We start from the raw sequence: 16729 nt of genomic DNA, 5'->3' as shown, positions 1-16729 counted from the left end.
ACACTTCTGTGCCCAAATTTCTCCTTTTAGCCAGGTGCGAGGACTCAGGCCCATAATCCTAGCACTTTGAGAGGCCAAGGCAGGAGGATTGCTTGAGACCAGACTAGCTTGGGCAACATAGAAAAGGGACCCATTTCTATGAAACAATGTAAAAAATTAGCCGGACATGGTGGCGTGAATCTGTAGTTCCAGCTACTTGGGAGGTTGAGGCAGGATCACCTGAGCCCAGGAGGTTGAGACTTGCAGTGAGCCATGATCGCACCACTGCACTCCAGCCTGGGTGACAGAGGAAGATCCTATCTTAACAACAACGCCCCACCCCCTCTTTTTTTATTGAGATAGGGTCTCGCTCTGTTGCCCAGGCTAGAGTGCAATGGCACAATCATGGCTTACTGGAGCCTCAACCTCCTGGGCTGAGGTGATCCTCCCACCTCAGCCTCCCCAGTAGCTGGGACTACAGGTGTGTGCCACCACGTCTGGCTAATTTGTGTATTTTTGGTAGAGACAGGGTTTCACTATATTGCTCAGGCTGGTCTCAAACTCCTGGGTTCAGGCGATTTGCCCACCTCTGTCTCCCAAAATGCTGGGGTTACAAGTGTGTGCCTCTGTGCCTGGCCAAAATTGCCCGTTTTTATAAGGACCACAGTCATATTGGATTGGGGCCTACCCTAATAGCCTCATTTGAATTTATCTCTATAAAGACCTTATCTCCAAATAATGTCACATTTTCAGGTCCTGGGGGTTAGGACTTCAGCATATGAATTTTCAGGGGAACACAGTTCAATCCATAACAGCATATCTGGTGTAGCCCGAGGACCCCAGGAAAACAGTCACTCTTATCAAGCAGAGCATTCCAAAGGCTCAGACGTCACTTCCTAGGAGCTGAGAGTCCAGGCACTCTCTGGGCCAGGTTAATGTCCTCACTACACAAGTGGGCACACTGAGAGGCCCATTCTACAGCTGAATCAACTGAGGCTGCCTCAGCTGGCTTCCAGGACACAGCCGAGCCAGAGGTGGTGTTTTCTTGGCAGTGGGTAGGGTCTTCCCTTCCTGGCCCAGGCCCAGGAGTGACACCATCCCCAACCCTCCCTGCAGGCCTGAGCCGGGCCGGGCTCCCGTTCGGGCTGATGCGCCGGGAGCTGGCGTGTGAAGGCTACCCCATCGAGCTGCGGTGCCCCGGCAGCGACGTCATCATGGTGGAGAATGCCAACTACGGGCGCACGGACGACAAGATTTGCGATGCTGACCCTTTCCAGATGGAGAATGTGCAGTGCTACCTGCCGGACGCCTTCAAGATCATGTCACAGAGGTGAGTGGGCTCTCGTGGCAGTTCCTGGATGAAGTGCCCGCCTAAAAGCACTGCACACCTGCCAGCACACCCGTTCACCTTACATCTTTTTTTTATGCATTCAACACATGTTTACTGAGCACTTAATAGGTGCTGGGCCCCATGCAGACGAGAATAAGACCCAGTACATCTCCCCACAGCCAGCCTGTGCCCCCGACAGAGGCCTATACCCATACATACACTGGGAAGTCCCTCCCCCCACCAGCCTCTTGCTTCCATAACTTCCATCCCAAGATTAGCCAGGGCAGTTTGTTTGTTTGTTTTTGAGATGGAGTCTTACTCTGTTACCAGGCTGGAGCGTGGTGGCATCTCAGCTCACTGCAACCTCCACCTCCTGGGTTTAGGCGATTCTTCTGCCTCAGCCTCCCAAGTAGCTGGGGATTATAGGCGCACGCCACCACGCCTGACTAATTTTTTTGTATTTTTAGTAGAGACAGGGTTTTGTAATTGGCCAGGCAGGTCTCGAACTCCTGACCTCAGGTGATCTGCCCACCTCGACCTCCCAAAGTGCTGGCATTACAGGCATGAGATGAGCCATCACACCCAGCCTTAGCCAGGGCAGTTTGGAGCTTGTAAAATATAAAGAACAGCAGGACAGAGCGAAGGTGTCATGGGAGGACTTTTCCCTTCATCCCAGACTCTTTTTTTTTTTTTGAAGATAGGGTCTCACTGTTGCCTAGGCTGGAGCACAGTGGCACAATCACAGCTCACTGCAGCTGTGACCTCTCAGGTTCAAGCAATCCCCCTGCCTCAGCCTCCTGAGTAGCTGGGACTACAGGCGCCTGCCACCATGCCTGGCTAATTTTATTTTATTTTTTGTAGAGGCAGGGTCTTGCTATGTTGCCCAGGCTGGTCTTAAACTCCTGGCCTCAAGCAATCCTCCTGCCTCGGCCTCTCAAAGCGCTGGGATGACAGGCATGAGCCACCGCACCCACCCATCCCAGATTTGAGAGCTCATCAGGCTACTCCAAGGAGGAGACACCTGAGCACAGATGATAGAAGCACAGGCCTGTGTGAGTGATTGTGTGTGGGGTGAATGCTTGAGCATGCAAGACTGTAACTTGGAGTGTGTCTGTGTGATTGCATGCATCTATGAGTATGACGGTGTATTTGTTTTATTTTATTTAGTTATTTAATTTTTGAGACAGAGTCTCAGTCTGTCACCCAGGCTGGAGTGCAGTGGTGCGATCTTGGCTCACTGCCACCTCCGCTTCCTGGGTTCAAGCGATTCTCCTGCCTCAGCCTCCCGAGTAGCTAGGACTACAGGCGCGCACCACCACGCCAAGCTAATTTTTTTGTATTTTTAATAGAGACGGGGTGTCACCATCTTGGCCAGGATGGTCTCGATCTCTTGACCTCATGATCCGCCCACTTGGCCTCCCAAAGTGCTGGGACTACAGGTGTAAGCCACTGCGCCCGGCCTGTTTTGTTTATTTTTGAGACAGAATCTTGCTCTGTCGCCCAGGCTGCAGTGCAGTGGTGTGATCTCAGCTCATTGCAACCTCCACCTCCAGGGTTCAAGCAATTCTCCCGCCTCAGCCTCCCGAGTAGCTGGGATTACAGGTACGCACCATCATGCCCAGCTTATTTTTGTATTTTTGTACAGACAGGGTTTTACCATGTTGGCCAGGTTGGTCTTGAACTCCTGACCTCAGGTGATTCACCTGCCTGCCTTGGCCCCCTTAAGTGCTGGGATTACAGGCGTGAGCCACTGCGCCTGGCCTGTGTGTGTATTTGAGTGTGAGTATGTGTGCATTTTTGAGTGTGTGACTAAATGTGTGTGATTGTGACTAAGTGTGTCTGTGTGTCTAAGTGTATGTGAACAGGTGTAGGTGTGTGCAGATGTGTGTGACTAAACATGTCTTTGAGTGTGTCTGAGTGTGTCTGTATGAGTGTGTATTGGAGTGTGTATCTGGGTGGGTGGATGTGTGTGTGAATGTGGGTGTTTGTGGGTGAATATGTGGTTATATGAGTGTATTTGGGTGTGTTTAAGTGTACGTGAGCGGGTGTGGGTGTGAGCATGTGTGTGAGCGGGTGTGGCTGACTGAGGTGTGTGTTTTCATATCTGTGAGTGGTGAGGTGGATGGGTGCACGTGTGTGGGGGTGGGTGGGTGTGGCTGTGTCTTTGTGTATTTAACTGTGTCTGTGGGCAGATGTGTGTATGTGGATGAGGGTTTGTGTGTGGTTGACTGAGAGTGTATTTGTATTTCTTTGAGTTGTTTGTGATTGTGTGAGCGTGGAGGGGTTGCCCCAGGCTGAGGCACCACGTGTGCAAATCTGCACAAGCCTCTCTCACACCCACAGTCAGTCCATGTAGAGCTGATCAGCCTTTCCTTCAAATTACACCCAGGCTGGACGCGGTGGCTCACGCCTGTAATCACAGAACTTTGGGAGGCTGAGGCAGGGGGATCGCTTTAGGTCAGGAGTTCGAGACCAGACTGGGCAACATAGCAAGACCCTGTCTCTACTAGAAACTAAAAAATAAATTAGCCAGTCATGGTGTGTGCCTGTGGTCCCAGCTACTCAGATGACCGATGCAGGAGGATCACTTGGGCCCGGGAGTTTGAGGCTTCAATGAGCTATGATCCCACCACTGCACTCCAGCCTGGGTGACTGAGCAAGACCCTGTCTCTAAAAAAAAAAAAAAAAAAAAACAGACCAGGTGCAGTGTTTCACGCCTGTAATCCCAGCACTTTGGGAGGCCATGGCGGGTGGATCACTTGAGGTCAGGAGTTCGAGACCAACCTGGCCAACATGGTGAAACCCTGTCTCTACCAAAAATACAAAAATTAGCCTGATACGGTGGTGTGAGCCTGTAGTCCCAGATACTTGGGAGGCTGAGGCAGGAGAATCGCTTGAACCTTGGAGGCAGAGGTTGCAGTGAACCAAGATAACACCACTGCACTCCAGCCTAGGTGACAGAGTGAGACTCTGTCTCAAAAAAAAAAAAAAAAAATGTGTGTTACCAGGGGAGGAGCGGGTCACTGAGAGCCCCAGGAGAGCAGGAGAGGTTTGGGCAGGGGATGACAGTGTTCAGGTGGCTGAGATAGCTGGGCTGGGCTGGGCTGGAGGCACCTCATCATCTCCTCCTCTCTGCCTCTCTCTCAAACTGCCATTCCCCTCCAGCAATCTTGCCTCTCTTCCCCGCTTCCTGTCCCCTGACACCCCTGCCGAGGGTGCCCTGCATAGGCATTCCCAGTCCAGGCTCTAGCCTTTGCTTAGGCTGTGGGCCCCCTCCCTGGGAGCCCCCTTCCTCCCACCTCTCCAAATTCTCCCTGCTGACTTCATTCAACACCAGCTTTGGGGGACTGCATTCTTCTCCATTATCTCTCTAGCACCTAGTACAGCATCTGGCCCAGTTCCCATGTCCGTGGGGAATGCTGTGCAGAATAGTTACCGGGGCTGAGGGAGTGTGATGAGGCCTCTGGAGTCACATCCAGAAGGACTTGTAGGGGGCCTTAGTCCTGCTTCCTCTCCGCTGAGTCCCCAACCCCCACTGCTCCACAACCAAGCCTGGAGACTCTTTTTTTTTTTTTTTTTTTTTTTTTGAGACGGAGTCTTGCTCTCCCCCAGGCTGGAGTGCAGTGGCATGATCTCGGCTCACTGCAACCTCCGCTTTCCGGTTCAAACAGTCCTCCTGCTTCAGCCTCGCAAGTGGCTGGGACTACAAGCATGCACCACCACGCCCGGCTAATTTTTGTATTTTTAGTAAAGACGACGTTTCACCATGTTGGCCAGGCTGGTCTCAAACTTCTGACCTCAATTGATCTGCCAGTCTTGGCCTCCCAAAGTGCTGGGATTATAGCCATGAGCCACTGCGCCCAGCCTAGCTGTTCATTTGTTGGTGGATGTTTGGGCTGCCTCCACGTTTGTGGTGATTGTGAATAATGCAGCTGTGAACGTGCGTGTACAACGATTTGCTTAAACACTTGTTTTAAATTCTTTTGGGTACAGTAATCCCCACTTACCCACTGGGGAAACGCTCCAAGAACCCCAGTGGATGCCTAAACTGCAGAGAGCTACTGAACCTTGTATATACCATGTTTTCTCCTATACAGCTCTAATTATAATAAAGTTTAATTTACAAATTAGGCACAGCTAGATGCGGTGGCTCATGCCTGTAATCCCAGCACTTCGGGAAGTCGAGACTACAATGAGCCATGATCACACCGCTGCTCTCCGTCCTGGGCAATAGAGTAAGACCCTGTCTAAAAAATAATAAAATAAAATAGGCTGGGTGTGATGGCTCATGATTGTAATCCCAGCACTTTGGGAGGTCGAGACGGGTAGATTGTTTGAACCCAGGAGTTTGAGACCAGCCTAGGCAACACGGCAAAACCCCATCTCTACTAAAAATACAAAAAATTAGCAGGGCATGGTGGCACATACCTGTAGTCCCAGCTCCTTGGGAGGCAGAGGCTGGAGGATCACTTGAGCCTGGGAGGCCGAGGCTGCAGTGAGCCAAGATTGTACCACTGCACTCCAGCCTCGGTGACAGAGCGGGACCCTGTCTCAAAACATAATAATAATAAAATACGTTAGGCACAGTGAGAGACTAACAACAACAATAATAATTTTTAGTAGTAAAATATTGTTACATAAACTAAGGGCTACTTGAACATAAGCACTGTGAAACCGTGACAGTTGATGGATAACTGAGATGACCACTAGTGACTAACAGACAGGGAGCAAATACAGCATGGACACGCCCCATACAGCATGAGATTTCATCAGGCTACTCACAACAGCACACAACTTAAAATGTATGAATTGTCTACTTCTGGAGTACAGCGGTGCGATCTCGGCTCACTGCAACCTCTGCCTCCTGGGTTCTAGCGATTCTTGGGCCTCAGCCTCCCGAGTAGCTGGGATTACCGGTGCGCCCCACCACGCCTGGCTAATTTTTGTTTATTTAGTAGAGATGGGGTTTTACCATGTTGGCCAGGCTGCTCTCAAGCTCCTGGCTTCAAGTGATCCATCCACCACGGCCTCCCAAAGTTCTGGGATTACAGGTGTGAGCCACTGCACCCTGCCCCAGTGTTCTATTTTTTGTTTTCTTTTGTTTTGTTTGAGACGGAGTCTTACTCTGTCACCCAGGCTGGAGTGCAGTGGCTCAGTCTTGGCTCACTGCAACCTCCGCCTCCTGGGTTCAAGTGATTCTTCTGCCTTAGCCTCCTGTGTAGCTGGGATTACAGACATGCACCACCACGCCTGGCTAGTTTTTGTATTTTTAGTAGAGACAGGGTTTCACTATGTTGGTCAGGCTGGTTTCAAACTTCTGACATCAGGTGATCCACCCGCCTTGGCCTCCCAAAGTGCTGGGATTACAGGCGTGAGCCACCACGCCCAGCCAGTGTTCTATTTTTAAAGAAGAGGATGAGGTGGATGGATACAGACAGATCTTCCCACACCCCATCCTGCCCCCCATTTTTCTCTCTCCCTGCTAGATCCTTAGTCCCTTCTCAAGTGTCTGCCTGTGTTTAGTACCCTTGGTTAAGAGCAGGATTGAAGGGGAGACACAGGGCCTCTTCTGCCCCATACCTGTCGGGAAGCCTCTCAAACTATGTCCTGCATGCCCGTGTCCTGCCTGGCCTAGCCCCAGCCTGCTGCAAGGGACAGAGACCCTGACAGTGGGGACAGACAGCAGATGAGACACACCTTTTTGTTAAATAGGTTCCCCCTTACATGCTAGCCAGCCCCCTGGGAAGTTGACAGTGACTTGGAGGAGTTGCCTCTTGGGAACCGAGAATGGCTTTCCCCTGGGGATGCTCTCTCCTGGCTGCCCTGGCTATAAGTCTGCACAGCAGCACTGCCCAAAGGGTGGGATGTGTCCACGAGATGGTGTGAAGTGGACACAGCTGGACACTGAACATTTCATTGATCGTAAGTTTGCAGAGACACCACCTCACGTGCATGGCTTCACATGTATTACTCTCCAGTGAACAGCGCAGGGGCTTTAAAGTCCATTTAAAGAAAAATGCCAAGGATATAATAGTGTCAGCTACACTCACAATGAAAGAGATGAGGGGTGGCCAGGAAAGCACTGTTTAGCGGGTGACTCCTCCTTCTTAGCCCTGAGGATGATGCTGTGCTGGGGCTGAAAATAGAAGAACCCTGGTGGGAAAGAGAGAGCAGGCAGGAAACAAAAAGTGCCCACACAAGTCCTCTGGGCTTGGTGTGTTAGTTCGTTCTTATACTGGTATAAAGAAATACCTGAGATTGGGTAGTTTATAAAGAAAAGACATTTAATTGGCTCATAGTTCTGCAGGCTGTACAGGAAGCATAGTAGCTTCTGCTTCTGGGGAGGCCTCAGGAAACTTACAATCACAGCAGAAGGTGAAGGGGAAGCAGGCACGCCGTACATGGCTGGAGTAGGAGGAAAAGAGAACAGGGGAGGTGCTACACACTTTTAAACAACCAGATCTCAACAGCACGGAGGGGATGGTGATAAACCATTCATTAGAAACTGCCCCCATGATCCAATCACCTCCCACCAGGCCCCACCTCCAACACTGGAGATCACAATTCAACATGAGATTTGGGTATGGACACAGATCCAAACTATATCACTTGGTTTCCAGCTCCACTGCCCCTTCCCAATTTGGGGGTGTCTATGACACCATGACCCTGGAGCATGCACCCCCACCCCCGCCACCCCGTCTATGTGTTTCTTTCCCAATGCCCTGTTTCTCCTCTGAAGGTGTAACAACCGCACCCAGTGCGTGGTGGTCGCCGGCTCGGATGCCTTTCCTGACCCCTGTCCTGGGACCTACAAGTACCTGGAGGTGCAGTACGACTGTGTCCCCTACAGTGAGTCATCTTGTTCCTTGTGCGGATGCGGGCCCTTCTCGCATGAGTGAGTGAGGAGGAGACACCTTGACCCATCACACATGTGCACACATGCATGGGGCCTGGGCACAGTGGGGACAGCCGGGCCTGCTCTCTCCAACACACATTCTCTAATCCCAGACACCAGTGTCCACACTCAGTGCCTGCTCCCCCGCCTCACAGACTCTGTCCCCTCCTGTGGGGACACCTTCTCCAGCTCTCCTTACCCCAGCCCACTCACCCTGCTTCTTCATGCACCCTATACTCATTTCCACACTGCCAGGCCATGGTCCCGTGCTCTGCCTGGCACACTTACGTCTCTCTCTTCTCCCTTGGCCTCTATGCTTTTCTCCCCCATCTGCCTCCCTCGCCTTCTCACATCCCTTCCTTTTCTGACTCTTCTGACCTTTTCTGACCCTTCTCATCTACCTTCTCTTCCCTCTCACTTACCCCACTGCCCCTCTCAACACCGTTCTCTCAGCACCCTCACTCCCCACACACTTCTTCCCAATCATGGAAGCTGGACTCTACACCCATAGAGTGGGATACCATCCTCTGAGGCCTGGTGGCAGATTCAGGGTGAAGGGCTGGGGGGCATTTTCAACAGATTCATAGCTCCTCACTGGTCTCCCCATTACCATGTGGCACTTCCTGTCTGCAAAGGAAATGCCGCCATGTTGGACTGAGGGTGGCCTCCAGGCAGCCTGAAGAAAGTGATTTGGGGAGCCAGGAGCCTGGCCATCTTGCACCTGGCCAAAGGGATCAGACAAAGACAAGGTCTCTCCTCCTCAGCACCCCACCCTTGACATCACCTTTTTCCTGCCCTCTCTCCTCCCTCCCTCCTTCCCATTATCCCTTCCCTTCTCCTCCCACAATGGGTTCCATGTAGTCAACCTGGTGGTAGGGCCTCCGGGAAGAGTGGGGAGAAGGCAGGGCCATCAGGGTGTCTGAGTGTGGCGGGCCGGGTTTGGGGACTAAGAGGCCCTGTAACTCTCCCTCCTCTCCCCTCCCACCCCAACCTTCCCTGCCAGCCTTTGATTTCTCCTCACAGGTGACTCGATGCTGGGGAAACAGGATCCCTTCTGTGCTTCCGTAATTTTCTTCTTTTACTCTTCGTCCTTTCCTTTCAGCGCTTGAGGCCTTCAGCCACCACCGAGGGGGATGCCCATCTGCTCCTTGAAGCCTCCCCACAGCACTGGGGACACGGCTGACTCCCGCGGCTGGGACAGCGGGGAAGGGGGGTGGGAGGCAGCGAGCTCAGCACAGGGGGGCAGTCAGATGGGTGTAGGTTCAAGGCTCGACTGGGCTCTTGAGTTTTCTGGCTCTGAAACCTTGAGCAAATGATTTAATTTCTCTGGGCCACTACGGAAGGAGGTGTGAGTCCATGAGATGACATGTGAGAAGCGCTTGGCCCAGGGCCGGCCACAAAGTCGCTCCTGGTGGCAGGGTTTTGAGTGCCGAGTGTAAACTTCCCAAGGGCAGAGGCTTCGTCTTCACCCGCCGCCCCAGCGCCCAGACCCATGCCTGGTTCAGGATGTGCTCAGTAATATTACCAATGCCCTTTAAGCCAGCTGAGCCTGTTTATTCATCTGTGATGGGGTGGAGAGGGGTCAAAAGCCTTCCCTGGGAAGCCACAAGGAGTAGCGACAACGCATGTCAAGCTTGTGTGCACCCGAGCTGTAGATGCAAAGGAAATGGTGCCTGCTTTCGCCAGCCATGTGGCCTCACTTCAGTGTGCCTCAGTTTTCCCATCTGTAGACAGGGTTCTCAAAAGACGGCCAGTGAGGTGCGTAGCATAGTTGCTGGCCCCTCGTGAGTGCTGGACACTTGGTAGTCGTTGCTTTTGTTGCAGCTCCTTGTAATGCCTCTTGTCAATTACGATTATTGCTGTGGTAATCAAAATTAAAATAACAACGGATAATGACCCAACTTCTCCCGAGGCAGGTGAGATAAAGGGCAGGAAAAATTCCTCGGTCCAGGTGGAAGCCAAAGCAAGTAGACGAGAGGCTCAGGTCAAGCCGCAGGAAAGAAGCTAGGGGAGGAGAGGAGCTGAGAAACCTCCTGGAGCCGAGGCCCTGAGCGTGGTCCAGGGGCTACAACCGACAGAGACCAGGCAGGCTCCAGGGACAGAGGGCAGGACAGTTCAGAGGATGAGTGGCTGCCTGTCTGATGGAAGAGAGATAGCCTGAGCCCTTGGGGAGACAGGAGACACACGCACACACACACACGCGCAGACATGTGTGCACACATACGGGGTGGATGTTGGGGGCAGAGCTAACTCCTGATGCTCCAGAGGAAGGAGGCTGGAGTTAAAGCGGGGACAGGAGGTAGCTAGAGGACAGGGAGGCCAGGCACTCACTTGTCCCCAAAATGTTCACTGAGCATCTCCTGAGTGCCAGGCCCTGGGTGAGGCGCTGGGAAGGGAGGCAGAGGCTGCCCCTGCGGAGCTCCCTGCTGGAACCTTCAGAGAGGGGCCAGGAGAGCCAGTCCCTCCAGTCAGAAGTTCCTGAGGGGCCAGGGATGCAGAGGGGGAGCGGCCTGGGCAGCCACCTGGCCCAGGGCTTCAGAGGCTGGGGGTGACCCCAGTGCTGGTGAGGGTGGGTCAGGGGTGGGTGGCAGGGGGCACGTGATGTGTGGGAACCCTCCCACACAGTGGACAAGCCCGACTAATGCTGGATTTGCTTTGCAGCTGAGCACAGTCTAACCGCGCCCCTTCCTCCCCTAGGTGCCGCCCGTCCGCAGGGCAGCGGGCAGGGCGGAGCTCCCAGCTCCTGGGCCCCCGGGCCCTGGGTGGGTTGAGCAGAGAAGCCGAGCCTCAGACTTGCCCCTGGGGAGCCTGGGAGCGTGTCTGTGCCCCCACTTGCTGTCCCACCCAGTCTGTGTCCCCCACCCCCGCCACCTCTCTGCCTCCGTCTCCCCAACCCTGGCTCTCTCTGGGGCCCGGGTGCAACTGCCCGTCTGCCTGTCGTTCTGTGTCTGGCTCTGCCACCTTCTCTCTGTGTTTGCTTCTTCTGGGTTGTGAGGGCTTGGGGGAAGTCAGCTGGACCTGGGTGAGGCCAGCATAAAGGGGAAGGAGTTCAGCCTGTTTCTTGGCTGAGGGTGGGCCCAGGCCCTGGGAGACACTGAAATCCTTCCCCTGGGGCCCCTGGTTCTAGCAGGAGGGCAGCAGGCAGGGTGGGAAGGGAGCCGAGTGGCTTATCCACCCCACCACTCCCTGGTGCCCCCTCTGACCGGAGCCCACCTCCCAGCTGGGGCTCCCTACTCCCTGCCCCCGCCTTGCACCAAGGGTGCCCCCTCCCACCTGAGGGCTCTGTCTGCCTGCCTGTACCCCCCTACCACCCCTGTGTCTTTCTGTGTCTTCTCCCTCCTGTGTGTGTCCCCCTCGTCCCTCTGACTGTCTCCCCAGCACCCTCTCACCCCACCTGACCACCCCCAGAGGAAGGGACCTGGGGGCGGGGGCCCGAGCTGATGCTACGGAAGGGGTTGGGGAAGCAGGAGCGAGGAAGGAAAGGAAAAGGGGGCGTGTTGCCAGAAAAGAAACGAAAGCAATTTAATCTCTTTTTTTTTCTCTTTTTTTCTTGCACATTTTTTTTTTCAATTTGTTTTCTCTCTCTCTTCCGATGCTTAAAGTAGAAGTGGAGCAGAAAGGTAAACGCACTGTTACCAATGCTAACCCCTAACTCACACTTTGTTCTACCTGTACCATACTTATGTGACCTGCCCTCCCCCGGCCCCTTCTTCTCTCCCCAACCCACACTTGGTCCGGTCGGTATCCCCCACCCTGGGTTGTCCTCCCAGTGGGACCAGCCCTGGTGCGGCCACGGGCATCTCCACCCTCCAGATACCCACGGAAGCTCCTCTCTGAGCTTGGGCAGGATTTTCTCTCTCTCGCTGTTTCTGTCTCTCTCTGTCCCTCCTTCCTGGTCCCTGGCCCTTTCGGGGGACCTGGCCTTTTCTCATACTTCTTTTGCCTCCTTCAGGAGAAGTGTATAAGCATCCAGGGCGGGTGGGGAGGGAGGGACTCCCTTCCCCGGCTCCCCCACTGGGGCACCGGGTGAGCTGTCTCTCTCTCTCTCTCTCTTTCTCTCTCTCTCTCTCTCTGTCTCTCCCCTCTCTCTTCCTCCTTCCCCTGTACCTTTTATAACATGTTTCTGGTTCATGGGAGGCGGGCTGGAGGGGACACCATTGTTTTCCTTTTGGGGAGCAGATTCTCCTATGTCTCGGGCTCCTGGTGGCTTAAGTTCCTTCTGGTTTGATGTTTCCAAGGCCCAGAGCTGTTTTGGAGCATGGAGCACCAGTCCTCCCCACCCCCAACCTGATCCCCATCTCTGACCAGCTGGGGGCCCAGCCCTGGGGAGGGGTGTCAGCTGTCCCCAGCCCTGGGAGGGGGCAGCCTGCCAAAAAATGAAAAAATGAGGGCGAGGGGGCGGGGGCGGGCCTCGTGGTTGGGGGAGCGAAGGGTGGGGGAGCGTGTTCTCTGTTTCTTTCACACTTGCAAAGCTGCAGTCAGGGTTTCTTCTGGGCTGTTGTGGTTAGAGGACCAGGGAGATGGGCGGCGGGCGGCGGGGGCACAGTCTGGGGACTTCCACAGACTCCGTAATTTCTAGCAGAGAACTCCCTAGTGGATGGGGCTGGCCATTACTGGCTGTTATTGGGGGGAGCGGAGGTGCTGCTGCTGAGGGGCTTCTAGGGTGAGATGTTAGGGATGACCATTTCCTCTCCAGAAAGTTTTGGGAAATTTACCCATCTGAGGCCGGCAGCAGCAGGCAGGGCTGGAGGACATGGCCTTTAGGGATCCCTTTTGCCTTGAAATTACAGTGGTCTGTGGAGCATCCCTTCCGAAGGAGGTGGGGCAGGGTCCCTCTGAGCTGCTCCCCTCCCCGTCTTCCCCTCTCCCCCATCTCAGAGAGGCCTGGGCTGCTGGCCCCAGGTCCGCCCCCTCACCACACCCCTCCAGTCTCCTCTCTTTCTCCTGGAGTCTCTCTCCCTCCCAGCACCAGCCACTCTTCTTGCAGGCCCACTGGTTTGGATGCGGCACCACTGGAGATTTTCTCTTCGAGGGCCAGGGCAGGGCGGGTGGGGTGACGGGGCAAGGGAGGGAAGAGGAGGGATTGGGAGTTTGGTGCTGGTGAAGGGTCCTTGCTGTCCAAGGCCCCAGACAGACCCTTCCTCATCTTCTCCCCCTTCCCCTGGGTTGACCTCTAACCACATTTTTCCCCCCTGACACCCTCTGAGCAGGTTAGGCTCTGAGGCCTCCCACCGTCCCCTTCACACAAACACGTCCCCTCAGATGCCACACACCTGGTGGGGGTGGGGACCGGCTTGGGCAGAGGCCAGTGTGCTGGACAGAGTGGGCAGGCCGACCCCTCAGGGCATCAGGGACAGGGGGATGGCCAGTCCCCAGGGCCCAAGCCAGGGTCGTTTTGGCTCCTGCCCAGCTCTATGTCCCAGGCTCCTCTCCCTCTACAAAAACTACATCCTGGCTGCTTTGTGCCAGGGGGCCCCTGAGCCACATTGTTCCCATGCTGTGAAGGGAGTGCTGCCTGTCCCCCTCCCTCCCAAGCCTGCTGGAGGTGGGGAATGAGGACTAGCCCAAGCCCCTCTTGCCACTGGGGCTGCCCCCCAAGCCGGTGCCAGGTCCCAGCCCCCCGATCCCCTCGGGGCCAGCTGCTTTGGTGACATGCCAAGCAAGAGCAGAGAATTCACTGCAAACCCTCCACCCTCGCCCTGTGCCCTCGCCCTGGCCTATGTGTGGGTTCTGCCAGCCAGGAGGTGAGGGAGGCCCGGCCATCCTGGATGGAGGGGCGCACTCTGGGAGGAGGTGGGGTGTCTGGCCACACTGACCCCCGGATCAGTCAAGGGGAGGTTAGGAGTAGGTGGTGCTGGGACGTGACTGGGCAAGGGTGGGCCGGCCAGCAGTGGCCAACGAGATGCAGTTGAGGTTTTCCTCCTTTTCAGGGATTGGGGGGGTGGGGCGGGGCCCCCCACCTTTCTGACATCAGCGCTGCCTTGGTCCCTCTTCCCGAGCCGGGGATGGTCGCAGGTAAATCGGGGTCCGGGCCAGGGGAGGTGGGGGGCCTGGCTGGGGCGGGCTGGGTCTTTATCCTAGCGCCTGGTTCCCTCCCCTGCCCCCTCCGAGCTGGACCTGGGACTGCCCCCCTGAGGGACCCTCAGTCGGGCCTGGGCCTTGGAGTGAATTCTCTGCTCACCCCTCTCTCCTCCGCCAGCACTAACCCTTTCTTCCCAGGTGGTTTGCAGCGCAGCCTCCCACGGAGCCAGGACCTCGCCAAGCCCCATACGCCCTTGTCTCTCTTCCCTCTGCACAGCTCTCCTCTCCCTCCCCAACTCTCCCGGGAGCCCTGTCCCTCTCCATGTCCCCACCCCCACCCCTGTGCACAGTGCCACTGTCTGCTGCTGAGCCAGACCCCATGAGAGACCCTGCCGGCTGGGGGCAGGGCTGGGCGCCCTCCAGGAGGGGCCAGACTCTTTCATTCCCCGTCCTAGCCTGGGAGCTGCCTCTGGGAATCCCTTCCTCGGCTACTGACTTCGTGGGTACTGGGTGGGGGGTGGGGAGCAGGCTGCATCAGGAACCTGGGGAGAGAGTTGAAACCCCTATCCTGGAATAGGGAGACACTCCTGACACCCACAGTGGGTATGGAAACACCACTCTACCTTGCAATTTTTGCAGGAGGAAGAAAGAGGAGTTAAAAAAAAAAACACTGTCCGGGTGTGGTTGGTGAAGGATGGGATCCTGGACCCTAGCTCTTCCCTAAGTGGCAGAGAAGAGGGAGAAGGGGCCGGGTGCTGAGTCCCTGGACCGTCAAAGTCAGGAGTGACTGTAGCGGGGAGATTCTGCCCCCACTTAAATCACACAGGACCACCTCTGGGAGGGCTCTTGCCAAACTCCTCCCCAGCCTGTGGGGTCTCTAGCAGCCAGGGAAGGGAAGAGGGGCACCACTTCCCCTCACTAACCCCGCTCTTAATGGCCTTCAGGGTTCACATTTCCAGGGAGAGGGGCAGCTGGGCAGGGCGTGGGGAGGGGGTCGGGTCCCAGCCCGGAAACCCCCTTCCCATCACCAGCCATACCAAGCAACCGTGACTGCAGCAGCAGGAGGGGACAACCTGGCTCCCCACCAGCAGCGTGACCAACTTGCCTCTCTCCCCCCTCTCTCTCTCTCTCTCTCTCTCTCTCTCTCTCCTCCCTCTCGCCTCTGCCCCTTCTCTCCTACCTCCTCCCCTCCCGCCCACTCTGCCCAGTCTTCGTGTGCCCAGGGACCCTGCAGAAGGTGCTGGAGCCCACCTCGACACACGAGTCAGAGCACCAGTCTGGCGCATGGTGCAAGGACCCGCTGCAGGCGGGTGACCGCATCTACGTGATGCCCTGGATCCCCTACCGCACGGACACACTGACTGAGTATGCCTCGTGGGAGGACTACGTGGCCGCCCGCCACACCACCACCTACCGCCTGCCCAACCGCGTGGATGGCACAGGCTTTGTGGTCTACGATGGTGCCGTCTTCTACAACAAGGAGCGCACGCGCAACATCGTCAAGTATGACCTACGGACGCGCATCAAGAGCGGGGAGACGGTCATCAATACCGCCAACTACCATGACACCTCGCCCTACCGCTGGGGCGGAAAGACCGACATTGACCTGGCGGTGGACGAGAACGGGCTGTGGGTCATCTACGCCACTGAGGGCAACAACGGGCGGCTGGTGGTGAGCCAGCTGAACCCCTACACACTGCGCTTTGAGGGCACGTGGGAGACGGGTTACGACAAGCGCTCGGCATCCAACGCCTTCATGGTGTGTGGGGTCCTGTACGTCCTGCGTTCCGTGTACGTGGATGATGACAGCGAGGCGGCTGGCAACCGCGTGGACTATGCCTTCAACACCAATGCCAACCGCGAGGAGCCTGTCAGCCTCACCTTCCCCAACCCCTACCAGTTCATCTCCTCCGTTGACTACAACCCTCGCGACAACCAGCTGTACGTCTGGAACAACTATTTCGTGGTGCGCTACAGCCTGGAGTTCGGGCCGCCCGACCCCAGTGCTGGTGAGGACGACTCACTTCCAGGCATGGAGCCTGCTTGCCTTTGTCCCCTCCACCCCCACCCACCCCTGGGTCCCAGAGTGGGGAGCCCCATCCTGTGAGCTCTTGGGGATCGGGAGGTAAAGGAAATTCACAGCATGTGACAGACGCTGTTCTAAGCACTTCACAGTCATTAACTCGTCTCCTCACGGTCTATGACACAGGGATCCTTACTGCCCTGTTTTACAGATGACACTGAGGCTCTGTGTGGGTAGGGGATTAAGTTATTTGAGGATTTGAACCCAGCCTCCCAACCACTGAACTGCAGTGCCTCTCCCAGGGGCCTGGGCACCTTTACTCCAGGAACCCTTGGATCCACCAAAATCCTGGGTGGAAGTCCAGTATCCACAAAAGAGCTGAGCTGCTGATGCTGACCGGGCTGAGGGCAACTCTGCAGTCTTCTTTTGCCCCGCCTAGCTGCCCTGCTAGCTCTGTGCCACCCCAGGGCTCCAGGGAGCC

General features: G+C 55.8%; 1 protein-coding gene and 1 long non-coding RNA gene across 22 annotated transcripts in view, besides 3 other annotated features; one reads left to right on the top strand and one right to left on the bottom strand.

Annotated features, from left to right (window-relative positions):
- The window catches only part of ADGRL1 (adhesion G protein-coupled receptor L1), a 58427-nt gene that overhangs the window by 27330 nt on the left and 14368 nt on the right, over positions 1-16729 (top strand). For 7 of the 21 annotated variants that reach the window (XM_017026479.2, XM_017026478.2, XM_017026475.2 and 4 more), the window contains 4 exons: positions 1096-1309; positions 8049-8158; positions 11807-11824; positions 15434-16255. In XM_017026479.2, coding sequence (XP_016881968.1) covers positions 1096-1309; positions 8049-8158; positions 11807-11824; positions 15434-16255 — 1164 coding nt within the window. Of the gene's footprint in view, positions 1-1095; positions 1310-8048; positions 8159-11806; positions 11825-14134; positions 14220-15433; positions 16256-16729 lie in introns of those variants that run through there. The other 14 variants (XM_047438418.1, NM_014921.5, XM_005259818.4 and 11 more) reach the window with 8 other exon arrangements.
- The window catches only part of ADGRL1-AS1 (ADGRL1 antisense RNA 1), a 34113-nt gene continuing 24959 nt past the window's right edge, over positions 7576-16729 (bottom strand). The window contains exon 3 of the long non-coding RNA NR_045214.1: positions 7576-10063. This is a non-coding gene — a long non-coding RNA (ADGRL1 antisense RNA 1). The remainder of the gene's footprint in view (positions 10064-16729) is intronic.
- Positions 10830-11019: a silencer, noted in NCBI's record as "silent region_10236". NCBI's record gives its function as "represses an Ori minimal core promoter by ATAC-STARR-seq in GM12878 lymphoblastoid cells {active_cell/tissue: GM12878}" and the evidence as "EXISTENCE:reporter gene assay evidence [ECO:0000049][PMID:35858748]".
- Positions 10830-11389: a biological region, named in NCBI's record as "H3K4me1 hESC enhancer GRCh37_chr19:14278263-14278762".
- Positions 10890-11389: an enhancer, noted in NCBI's record as "H3K4me1 hESC enhancer chr19:14278263-14278762 (GRCh37/hg19 assembly coordinates)". NCBI's record gives its function as "activates a minimal SCP1, AML or CMV promoter by ChIP-STARR-seq in naive H9 embryonic stem cells {active_cell/tissue: H9 hESC(naive)}" and the evidence as "EXISTENCE:reporter gene assay evidence [ECO:0000049][PMID:30033119]".

Source organism: Homo sapiens, chromosome 19, assembly GCF_000001405.40.
Source record: "Homo sapiens chromosome 19, GRCh38.p14 Primary Assembly".
In the NCBI taxonomy this organism is placed as follows: domain Eukaryota; kingdom Metazoa; phylum Chordata; class Mammalia; order Primates; family Hominidae; genus Homo; species Homo sapiens.
This window is presented reverse-complemented; position numbering and strand designations above follow the sequence as displayed.